This window comes from Homo sapiens, chromosome 2, assembly GCF_000001405.40.
Source record: "Homo sapiens chromosome 2, GRCh38.p14 Primary Assembly".
Classification (NCBI taxonomy): domain Eukaryota; kingdom Metazoa; phylum Chordata; class Mammalia; order Primates; family Hominidae; genus Homo; species Homo sapiens.
The window spans coordinates 178974094-178987281 of NC_000002.12; the positions used below are offsets into that span (position 1 = coordinate 178974094).

General features: G+C 36.1%; 1 protein-coding gene across 20 annotated transcripts in view; it reads right to left on the reverse strand.

Annotated features, from left to right (window-relative positions):
* CCDC141 (coiled-coil domain containing 141) overlaps nucleotides 1-13188 on the reverse strand; it is a 235160-nt gene that overhangs the window by 159116 nt on the left and 62856 nt on the right. For all 20 annotated transcript variants that reach the window (XM_047443998.1, XM_047443994.1, XM_047443993.1 and 17 more), the window contains exons 3-4: nucleotides 4391-4582; nucleotides 964-1072 (exon numbers count right to left, since the gene is read on the reverse strand). In XM_047443998.1, coding sequence (XP_047299954.1) covers nucleotides 964-1072; nucleotides 4391-4582 — 301 coding nt within the window. The remainder of the gene's footprint in view (nucleotides 1-963; nucleotides 1073-4390; nucleotides 4583-13188) is intronic.

Consider the following 13188-nt stretch of genomic DNA (forward strand, 5'->3'; position numbering starts at 1 on the left):
TGAGTCCTTTAATCTTTGAGTTTTAGAAAGTTGTAATAAGTAATTTATCATAATGATCTATTGTCTAGAGTCTTTTGAAGGGTAATATAAACACTAAATCTATTTGTGACTTTAAAACACCTTTTGGTCCTATCCAGAATGACAGGCTGGTGGAGCTAGAAGTCAAGTTAGAACTGTGACAAATGAATTCAAGAAACCTTTCTATCCAGACCCTATTCTATTTGGCAGTAAAATTAGAAGACATATTAGGCAGAAAAGAAACGGTTGTTTCTATCAATTTATCTAACCTCCTTCCATTGCAAAAGATGACAGGTAACTACTACTTTTCCACAAATGCGTTTCCCTACTCCACTCCTGGCCCACACCAAATTCTTGTAGAAAGGCTTGGCATACAAATTGTTGGTTAACAACTAGACTATCTTTCTAGTTGTTCAGAGGGAACTGAAAATCTTTTTGTAGAGTGTTTTATTAGATTTTCATCTGGAAAAATTCACTGTTCCATTTTTTTAACTGCAATGGTGAAAGAGGAATTTTGCTGATTCAGACCTGCTTTTTAAAGAATTACCTTCATTTATTGACCCTTAGAAGGAACATTCACTGAATTCAATGATTTATTCAACTAAGAAAATTTCTTTAGGATCTACCATGTGGCAGGAACCTTGCTAGATGCTAAGGGTAAAGGGATGAACAAGGTAGAAATGGCCTCTGTCCTCAGGAGCTAAACTCTAGCACACCAAATAACAGAATCTCCTGGAGGCATATCCTCTACCATCCTCTCAGAATATTCACAACTAGTTCTTTCTTTCAGAAGATGATTAAAAATGAAGCTTTAACTTTTCTTGGAACAAGCTGAGGTAAACATAAATAGATCAATTTAAAATACACTATCATACATAAGCATTCTCACATTAACATCTTTTAAAACCTCTAAACACTTCTGTGAGAAATAAACATATTTCTTGCCTTTAGTATGATGTTCATGAAGCTGAAGAAGTGATTTTAAGGACTCAGCACTCTCAAACTCATGAGTATTCTGGAGGAAATCTTCAGCTTGGTCTATTTTAATAGCAAACTACAATAGAAATACAGAGGAAAGACATTTGACATTTGTATAAAAATTAACGTGCCATTGTTAGTTACCTGGAGATGTTTTTCATAAATTAGTAGCCCAACTGAGGATGTGTGATTATGCAAGTGCATATGTTTGTATGTGTTTGTGTGTGTTTTGGCTTACAGTGTTTGCATGAGGGTGTGTGTTTGCATGTGGTCAATTTACAAAGTGTCATTGGTAAGAACTTTCTTCTCCTTTCATACCTAATTATATAGGCTGAAATAAACCAACCTGTTTACTGTCCAAATGCCTATTAAATTTTTCAACCAAAATTATAGTGTCCTATGTATACAGTCACTTTCAACATTCTAAGGCACTTAGTTAAGAATAAGCAGAAAGTTAGCTAAGGGAAACCAAGAAAAGGTTAACTAAAAAGCAGTCTATACATTTACAAGTAAATGTAGCTTAGGAACTCACTTAGAGAGAAGGTAGAAGTATAGTTATTTTTTCCCTCTAAAATTGAACTTAGCAGTGAAATATGCAAGTTTCTGAATAATACATAGTCTAATCCAATATTTTATACAAAGCAAAAAAATATATATTTGTATAGAAATTGGTCTCAAAAAATACACACCAAATGGTGACTTAATGAGAAGAAATGAAATTAAGGATGAGTGAGAGGAGGTAAAATTTTAATATTTAAATCTATAATTTGTAATTCTGTTTGCATTTTTATCAATAATTTGTATGCATTACATCTATAAATAAAATGAGATTAGATGGAGCAAGAATGACAAGTGAGAAATTTATTCCCTGTTTCAAGGAAAATGCATAGTAATTTCACACTCTAAATGGTGAGGAATATAACTGGTCTGTCTTTTTTCTTTTTCTCCATAGAGGCAGTGGGAGATTGAGAGAGATGATTAACGTGATGTTAAAATGCTCAGGAAAATAATCTTAGAAACAAATTTTAGAATGGCAAAATATATTTGATTATCCTGTCACAGTATGTCTATAGTGGTAGACAAATAGTTGGCTTGTTTTAGCACTAAGATTCAACAGTAATTATCACAATTTATATGAGCATTTTAATATATCCACCTTTGGATTGGGTTTAGAATAAACTAATTAAGGAAAAGTATCAGACATAGAAGCTTACCACGGTACTTATCTTCTGTTTCAAGTCTTCTCCAAACTATCATTTTTGAATTTGGGGATTCTTAATATTTTAATGTAACTATTTGATTAACACAATCGACTGTAGTTTATTACAACAGCCATATGAAATCCAATTATAAGTGAAACAGAATGATGAGAGAGAGACTGAAGAGCATGGGACATGTTTTGGAAATGCAAGGAAGGCCTCTGTCATCCTATTAGAACAACCTGATGGACATCTGCTGCTGCCAATCAGGGGCAGTGTTCCTAAATTATAGCACAGTGTTCGAGGTGAGAATAACCCAACTGACAGTTATGTCTGTGAGCCTGAAATAATCTTGTAATAATGATCAGCCATGCAATTATTAGTAATTTTTCATTTCTCAAAAACTCCTACATGCACATAATTCAATAAGGGGGTCATATCCACATCATTTACATCTCTAATTCAATTTCTAATAACTGATTTTTAAAATATTATTTAAAGAGAATCTTCAAAAAGAAAAGAAAATTCCTAGCAGGTAGTTTGTTTGTTACCTGCAGAACATTAGAAAAAGTTCCAGGGTCACTGTTTAACTTATATTTATATTTCAGCTTGTTATAAAATTAAAAATAAATAAACCAATAAGCAAACAATGCTTTACTCAGAAAAAGTTTTCCTAAAGTTCTGTTTACTTTTATCAGTATTTTCCTTTCTCCACTCTCTTATATCACTAATAAAAATGGCTTTGGCATACAAAGGGGACATAAGGATTATATAGGAGTTTGTCTTCAGTTTAGTATGAAGTGATCCACAAAATTGGAAACAGGATAATACAAAAAATAATTAGTCTTTTCACTAGATTCAATAAAAGCTCACGCAAGTGTAAGTATAAGAGTGTTGGGCTTAATTATGGTTTGGCCTACTATTTCCTTTTACTTCATGTTATATCTGAAAGGAATTTACTCATCATGGAGAAAATAAGCTACATTAACACTAAAACACAGTGAGAAACAAATATTGCTCCAATGCTAGAAAAAAAGAAAATTTCCTGGGCTCAAAAGAGCTGAGTTTCAAGGACAGTTGACACCTATACCCTACTTACTAAGATAGAGTGAATCAGATATAGCTATAATTTGGCCTCTGTAGGTGTATTTCAGCTGTTTCATTTCTTTTCAGGGAAGAAAGATGGTGTATGAAACTTTTTCCAAGATGGTCTCTGAAATGAGTTAAACTTCGGTGTTCAAATTGTGAAAAACAAGCCTTGAAAGTTATAATAAGGTTTTTATTCCTCCCTTTTGCTTTTAAACAAGTTCATGATGCATGAGATTGCCTACTCCAATTTTTAGTTTCTATTACTAATCTTCTTTCCTTCATTATTTTGGATTTAAGTCCTGAATTTCTAGTTTAAAATGTCATATTTTTCAAAGCTAATGCTTTATCATAATGAAGCAGTGCTCTTACATCAAAATGAATGGGCTGCCACCTGACACAGAAGTTAAAAGTGAAATTTCCAATAACTGTCTTATACCAAATATAACACCTCTTTTGATAATGTTCTTTGAACTCTCATATTTTGAAATTAGAAACCTCAAAAAATTGTAGAATTCGAGAAAAATCACATGGAGACATGACCTTCTTAGGTCTAGGAGGACTTTTTCCTTCTCTTGTATTGTAAGGTGTTCAAACTATGGAAAATCAACTATACGCCTTAGGAAAGTACTTATAAAATGCTATATTTATGAATCAAATATCCTATGGAATATTCTATAATTGCCTTTTTAAAACATAGGCAGCAAAAGGAAATTTTATTCTCCAACTTTTAGCCAAGAACCACACTCTAGACCAGCATTTCTTAGTAATCCTACCATCAGGTAATTGTTTGATTTAGTAACTGTATTACTACCTTCTATAGAGGGAAATAATCGTAATGACTTATGAGTGTTCCCATTATTACTTAATATTTTACCAAATTTTAGTTATTTAACTGTACTTTGTTTTTGTTTGAAGATCTACTCTTAAAATAGTAATAATTTTGTTTTTTGACAATCAAAAATTAAATATATTGTGTATGTATGTTTTGGTTATTCTGCCATTTTTTTAACTGCTTGCAATGTCTATTTGTGAAAAAATAAACATTTTCAGGAGTGCTATTCATTTGCTCTGATGTGGGGAAGGGAGAAGTTTTTTAAAGTACAAACCTCTAAGGCATTTTCAAAAAATTCAGAAGTCAACCTAAGGAGCTCTGTTCTTCTTTCAAGCATGGACACCAGAGCTGCCCATGCTTCACCCAGAGTCTCGGCCATGGCATCATAGACCTGACTCTGATCCTTGTTCTCTTCAGCTGTCTTGTCTGCTTCCTGCAAGAGTTCCCATACCCGATCTTCCAAAGCCTAAGTACAAAAGAAAAAGGCATAAGGCAGGGTGTTAACTTAATGTAAGAACACAGGATCACATTTTAAACACTTGGATAGTAGAAATTGCATGTGGTCTAGGAAACAGAATTTATAAACACAAACTGTTATGCAAGAAGGTGTATCAAACAGGAAGGAAGGAGCGATCAGGATTGAGGTGAGCCAGGAAGCATGGCCAGGCTAAGGGCGTTCACATTTAAACATTGTCCAAACACTGCTGACATCTGTCAAAGACACATGTCTACATTCCCAAGGGGTATAGAATATTATGTTAATCTAACAGTTCCAAAAAAAATAAGAAAAGTAATAAGAACACACCCTGAAGAGTGATCAAGAATAAAGGTTGTGAGAAACAAGCCCAGTAAAGCTTAGTTTATTGCAAATAATTGTCATTAGTTGTTAATATGACCGTGACGATTAATGTAAATATTAAGAGTAGATTTTTAAACCAGAATAGTCATAATTTAAAAATTAAGATATCTATAACCAACATTATCTACTGTTTGAACAAAATATGAAAAATGAAAAGGAACATGTGCTTACATAATTGTCTCATTCAGGGATAGGAGGATTCAATAAGATCCATATAATTCTTGAAGTTGACACCAAAATAAAGGCATAATTTTTAAAGAGTACAGTAGACTAAAATAGTATGAATAAATTCTAAAATATCAACATAAAAAGGAACTTAAAACGTGATAAAGAAAAATACAACAAAGAAAACAAAAGAAATAAGAGCAGGTTCATAAGGACACACACAAACATAATGACAAGTACATAATTAAATATCAATTAACACAAAAAATGTGGATGAGTTAACTTTTTAAACAAAAAGACAAACACTATCAGAGTGAGGAAAAAAAGGCAACAAAATTCAACCAATTTGTGTTTGCTAGAGTATCCCTAAAAAGAAATACTTTTTGAAAATAAAGAGATGAGCTATATCAGGCAAAGACAGACAAGAGAAAGCAGGACTATAATACTGAATAAATTAGAATCAAAACAAAAATCACTGATGCTTTAAAATGGCATTTATAATGATAAATAGTGCAATCCACAGTAAAGACACTCATGAACCTTTGTATCTGTGGCACTGAAATATTTCAAGTAGATATAACCAGTCTTACATCAAACAAATAGATAACAAGAACTACAATTATGGACTGCTTTTAAAAGTAATAATAAGGCTACTACATTTAAAAACTTTAAATATATAGCTAACCTTATGCTCAGATAAAATACGTAGTATTAGACAACTTGTTTTTAAAGAAAGAACATAATCTCAACATCTAGGACTAAATTATTTAAAAAATAAACAAATTAAGGGGGATAAACTGATTTAATACAAAATCAGAAATTAGCAGGTTAGATTAAAATATTAGAACTGATTTTTTAAGTTTTGATTAATTAAAAACCCAATGAAATATTAAAACAGCTGAAAGATGTCAATAAAAATTGGAGAGTAGATAGCTTCAAGGGACCATTCCTGTAGAGAAACATCAAAATACGCTGGGAGACCGAGGCGGGCAGATCACGAGGTCAAGAGATGGAGACCATCCTGGCTAACACAGTGAAACGCCATCTCTACTACAAATCCAAAAAAATTAGCTGGGCCTGGTGGTGGGCGCCTGTAGTCCCAGCTACTCTGGAGGCTGAGGCAGGAGAATGGCATGAACCCAGGAGGTGGAGCTTGCAGTGAGCTGAGATCGTGCCACTGCACTCCAGCCTGGGCAACAGAGCGAGACTCTGTCTCAAAAAAAGAAAAAAAAATGCAAGCAAAAACTGTCCTAATTTTGTTAGAACTCTGGAAAGTAGTCAAAGATTTACAGCAACAAAACTAAGGCTGAAGCAAGAAAAAGGTGACTTAAAAATGGTAGAAAAGCTTTGAGATATTTTTACGTGCCCTTGCTCTACCCCTCCTGGGTTCAGCAGAAACTATTAGAGTGGATAAGAATAATAAGACTCAAGTATACATTGTCTACAAGAAACCTACTCCAAATATAAAGGCAGAGGTGCATTAAAAGTAAATAAATTGGAGTAACAATGTGAAGTGATATGTCAATTAGCTCAATTAATTTAACATGTGTTAATTATTTTGCAATGTATACATACCTCAAGACATCATATTGTACAACTTAGGTGTATACAATTTTTAGTTGTCAATTATACCTCAATAAAGCTGGATGAAAAAAAAGGTAAATGGACAGAGAAAGATGTACCATGCTAACACTAGTCTGAAGAAAGCTGAGTAGCTATGTTAATTCTACACAGAGAATATTTTAGAGCCAGGAATATTATTTGAGACTAAGATGGGTGTTACGTAATAATAAAGGAGTCAATCTACAAGAAGGCATGACAATTCTAAATGGGTATGAGCCTAACAACAGAGATTCAAAATATATGAGGCAAAAATTAATAGAACTACATGCAGAAATAGATAAATATACTATAATAGAGACTTCAACATCCTTCTATCAGTAATCATTATATCCAGCAGGCCGAAAATTATGAAGCATATAGATGAACTGAACAGCACTATTAGTCAACTTGATCTAATTGGCATTTATAGAATAATTCTTCCAACAATGCATAACACACTTTCCTCTCAAGCTTACATGGAACATACATCAAGATAGGCCATATCCTGGGCCATAAAACATACCTTACCAAAATTTTAAAAACAGAAATCATACGAATATACTCTCAGACCACAAAAGAATTAAACTAAATGTCAATAACAGAAATATAGCCAAAAATACCACAATATTTTAATATTAAACAACACACTTTAAAATAACACATGGGTCCAAGAAGAAGTCTCAGGGAAATACAAATATTTTGAACTAAATGAGAAAATGAAAATATGATGTATCAAAATTTTTAAGATGCCACAACAGCAGTGCTTAAAGAAAAATTTGTAGCATTGAATGTGTGTGTGTGTATATATATATATATATATATACATACATATATACATATATATATATAGAGAGAGAGAGAGAGAGAAAAAAAAACCTAAATCAGTCTTCTGAGTTTTTACCATAGGAACTAGAGAAAGAGAGTAAATTAAATCTTAAGTAAACAGAAGAAAATAATAAAAATTAGAGGAGGAATCAATAAAATGAAAACAATAGAGAAAATCAATGAAAGCAAAAACGAGTTCTAAGAAAAGATCAATAAAATTGATAAATCCCTAGTCAGGCTAATCAAGAAAGAAAGAAAGAGAAAAGAAACAAATTACTAATATTGGAAATGAAAAAGGGTCCATAACTACTGATCCCATGGATATTAAAAGGATAAAAAGGAATACTATAAATGGCTCTATGTCCACAAATTTGATAACTGAGATGAAATGGACAAATTCCTTGAAAGCCACAATCTACCAAAACTCACACAAGAAAAAATAGGTAATCTGAACAAGCCTATATCTATTAAAAAATTAAATCAATAATTAATAACCTTCCAAATAAGAAAGCAGTAAGCCCAGGTGACTACACTGGTGAATTCTACCAAATGTTTAAAGAAGAAATGATGCTAAAGCTACTAAATAAATTCAGCAAAGTTACAGAGTATAAGATCAATAACAAAAAAATTGGTTGTGTTTCTTTATAAAGAAATGAACAATCTAAAAAGGAAATCAAGAATTCCACTTATAAGAGCATCAGAAAGAATAAAATACCTAGGAATACATTTAACCAAGGAGGTGAAAGACTTGTACATTGAAAACTAAAAATCATTACTGAAAGAAATTGAAGGAGGGAGGAGCCAAGATGGCCGAACAGGAACAGCTCTGGTCTACAGCTCCCAGCCTGAGCGACGCAGAAGACGGGTGATTTCTGCATTTCCATCTGAGGTACCGGGTTCATCTCACTAGGGAGTGCCAGACAGGGGGCGCAGGTCAGTGGGTGCACGCACCATGTGCGAACCGAAGCAGAGCGAGGCACTGCCTCCCTCGGGAAGCACAAGGGGTCAGGGAGTTCCCTTTCCTAATCAAAGAAAGGGGTGACAGACGGCACCTGGAGAATCGGGTCACTCCCACCCGAATACTGAGCTTTTCTGACGGGCTTAAAAAAAGGCGCACCACGAGATTATATCCCGCACCTGGCTCGGAGGGTCCTACCCCACAGAGTCTCCCTGATTGCTAGCACAGTAGTCTGAGATCAAACTGCAAGGCGGCAGCCAGGCTGGGGGAGGGGCTCCCACCATTGCCCAGGCTTGCTTAGGTAAACAAAGCAGCCTGGAAGCTCGAACTGGATGGAGCCCACCACAGCTCAAGGAGGCCTGCCTGCCTCTGTAGGCTCCACCTCTGGGGGCAGGGCACAGACAAACAAAAAGACAGCAGTAACCTCTGCAGACTTAAATGTCCCTGTCTGACAGCTTTGAAGAGAGCAGTGGTTCTCCCAGTACGCAGCTGGAGATCTGAGAACTGGCAGACCGCCTCCTCAAGTGGGTCCCTGACCCCTGACCCCCGACCAGCCTAACTGGGAGGCACCCTCCAGCAGGGGCACACTGACACCTCACACTGCAGGGTACTCCAACAGACCTGCAGCTGAGGGTCCTGTCTGTTAGAAGGAAAACTAACAAACAGAAATGACATCCACACCAAAAACCCATCTGTACATCACCATCATCAAAGACCAAAAGTAGATAAAACCACGAAGAGGGGGAAAAAACAGAACAGAAAAACTAGAAACTCTAAAAATCAGAGCACCTCTCCTCCTCCAAAGGAACCCAGCTCCTTACCAGCAATGGAACAAAGCTGGATGGAGAATGACTTTGACGAGCTGAGAGAAGAAGGCTTCAGACGATCAAATTATTCTGAGCTACGGGAGGACATTCAAACCAAAGGCAAAGAAGTTGAAAACTTTGAAAAAAATTTAGAAGAATGTATAACTAGAATAACCAATACAGAGAAGTGCTTAAAGGAGCTGATGGAGCTGAAAACCAAGGCTCGAGAACTACGTGAAGAATGCAGAAGCCTCAGGAGCCGATGCGATCAACTGGAAGAAAGGGTATCAGCAATGGAAGATGAAATCAATGAAATGAAGTGAGAAGGAAAGTTTAGAGAAAAAAGAATAAAAAGAAATGAGCAAAGCCTCCAAGAAATATGGGACTATGTGAAAAGACCAAATCTACATCTGATTGGTGTACCTGAAAGTGATGGGGAGAATGGAACCAAGTTGGAAAACACTCTGCAGGATATTATCCAGGAGAATTTCCCCAATCTAGCAAGGCAGGCCAACGTTCAGATTCAGGAAATACAGAGAATGCCACAAAGATACTCCTCGAGAAGAGCAACTCCAAAACACATAATTGTCAGATTCACCAAAGTTGAAACGAAGGAAAAAATGTTAAGGGCAGCCAGAGAGAAAGGTCGGGTTACCCTCAAAGGGAAGCCCATCAGACTAACAGTGGATCTCTCGGCAGAAACCCTACGAGCCAGAAGAGAGTGGGGGCCAATAGTCAACATTCTTAAAGAAAAGAATTTTCAACCCAGAATTTCATATCCAGCCAAACTAAGCTTCATAAGTGAAGGAGAAATAATATACTTTACAGACAAGCAAATGCTGAGAGATTTTGTCACCACCAGGCCTGCCCTAAAAGAGCTCCTGAAGGAAGCACTAAACATGGAAAGGAACAACCAGTACCAGCCGCTGCAAAATCATGCCAAAATGTAACGACCATCGAGACTAGGAAGAAACTGCATCAACTAACGAGCAAAATCACCAGCTAACATCATAATGACAGGATCAAATTCACACATAACACTACTAACTTTAAATGTAAATGGACTAACTGCTCCAATTAAAAGACACAGACTGGCAAATTGGATAAAGAGTCAAGACCCATCAGTGTGCTGTATTCAGGAAACCCATCTCACGTGCAGAGACACACATAGGCTCAAAATAAAAGGATGGAGGAAGATCTACCAAGCAAATGGAAAACAAAAAAAGGCAGAGGTTGCAATCCTAGTCTCTGATAAAACAGACTTTAAACCAACAAAGATCAAAAGAGACAAAGAAGGCCATTACATAATGGTAAAGGGATCAATTCAACAAGAAGAGCTAACTATCCTAAATATATATGCACCCAATACAGGAGCACCCAGATTCATAAAGCAAGTTCTGAGTGACCTACGAAGAGACTTAGACTCCCACACATTAATAATGGGAGACTTTAACACCCCACTGTCAACATTAGACAGATCAACGAGACAGAAAGTCAACAAGGATACCCAGGAATTGAACTCAGCTCTGCACCAAGCGGACCTAATAGACATCTACAGAACTCTCCACCCCAAATCAATAGAATATACATTTTTTTCAGCACCACACCACACCTATTCCAAAATTGACCACATACTTGGAAGTAAAGCTCTCCTCGGCAAATGTAAAAGAACAGAAATTATAACAAACTATCTCTCAGACCACAGTGCAATCGAACTAGAACTCAGGATTAAGAATCTCACTGAAAACAGCTCAACGACATGGAAACTGAAGAACCTGCTCCTGAATGACTACTGGGTACATAACGAAATGAAGGCAGAAATAAAGATGTTCTTTGAAACCAATGAGAACAAAGACACAACATACCAGAATCTCTGGGATGCATTCAAAGCAGTGTGTAGAGGGAAATTTATAGCACTAAATGCCCACAAGAGAAAGCAGGAAAGATCCAAAATTGACACCCTAACATCACAATTAAAAGAACTAGAAAAGCAAGAGCAAACACATTCAAAAGCTAGCAGAAGGCAAGAAATAACTAAAATCAGAGCAGAACTGAAGGAAATAGAGACACAAAAAACCCTTCAAAAAATTAATGAATCCAGGAGCTGGTTTTTTGAAAGGATCAACAAAATTGATAGACTGCTAGCAAGACTAATAAAGAAAAAAACAGAGAAGAATCAAATAGATGCAATAAAAAATGATAAAGGGGATATCACCACCGATCCCACAGAAATACAAACTACCATCAGAGAATACTACAAACACCACTACGCAAATAAACTAGAAAATCTAGAAGAAATAGATAAATTCCTCGACACATACACTCTCCCAAGACTAAACCAGGAAGAAGTTGAATCTCTGAATAGACCAATAACAGGAGCTGAAATTGTGGCAATAATCAATAGTGTACCAACCAAAAAGAGTCCAGGACCAGATGGATTCACAGCCGAATTCTACCAGAGGTACAAGGAGGAACTGGTACCATTCCTTCTGAAACTATTCCAATCAATAGAAAAAGAGGGAATCCACCCTAACTCATTTTATGAGGCCAGCATCATTCGGATACCAAAGCCGGGCAGAGACACAACCAAAAAAGAGAATTTTAGACCAATATCCTTGATGAACATTGATGCAAAAATCCTCAATAAAATACTGGCAAACCGAATCCAGCAGCACATCAAAAGCTTATCCACCATGATCAAGTGGGCTTCATCCCTGGGATGGAAGGCTGGTTCAATATACGCAAATCAATAAATGTCATCCAGCATATAAACAGAGCCAAAGACAAAAACCACATGATTATCTCAATAGATGCAGAAAAGGCCTTTGACAAAATTCAACAACACTTCATGCTAAAAACTCTCAATAAATTAGGTATTGATGGGACATATTTCAAAATAATAAGAGCTATCTATGACAAACCCACAGCCAATATCATACTGAATGGGCAAAAACTGAAAGCATTCCCTTTGAAAACTGGCACAAGACAGGGATGCCCTCTGTCACCACTCCTATTCAACATAGTGTTGGATGTTCTGGCCAGGGCAATTAGGCAGGAGAAGGAAATAAAGGGTATTCAATCAGGAAAAGGGGAAGTCAAATTGTCCCTGTTTGCAGATGACATGATTGTATATCTAGAAAACCCCATTGTCTCAGCCCAAAATCTCCTTAAGCTGATAAGCAACTTCAGCAAAGTCTCAGGATACAAAATCAATGTGCAAAAATCACAAGCATTCCTATACACCAACAACAGACAAACAGAGAGCCAAATCATGAGTGAACTCCCATTCACAATTGCTTCAAAGAGAATAAAATACCTAGGAATCCAACGTACAAGGGATGTGAAGGACCTCTTCAAGGAGAACTACAAACCGCTGCTCAAGGAAATAAAAGAGGATACAAACAAATGGAAGAACATTCCATGCTCATGGGTAGGAAGAATCAATATCGTGAAAATGGCCATACTGCCCAAGGTAATTTATAGATTCAATGCCATCCCCATCAAGCTACAAATGACTTTCTTCACAGAATTGGAAAAAACTACTTTACAGTTCATATGGAACCAAAAAAGAGCCCGCATCGCCAAGTCAATCCAAAGCCAAAAGAACAAAGCTGGAGGCATCACACTACCTGACTTCAAACTATACTACAAGGCTACAGTAACCAAAACAGCATGGTACTGGTACCAAAACAGAGATATAGATCAATGGAACAGAACACAGCCCTCAGAAATAATGCCGCATATCTACAACTATCTGATCTTTGACAAACCTGACAAAAACAAGCAATGGGGAAAGGATTCCCTATTTAATAAATGGTGCTGGGAAAACTGGCTAGCCATATGTAGAAAGCTGAACC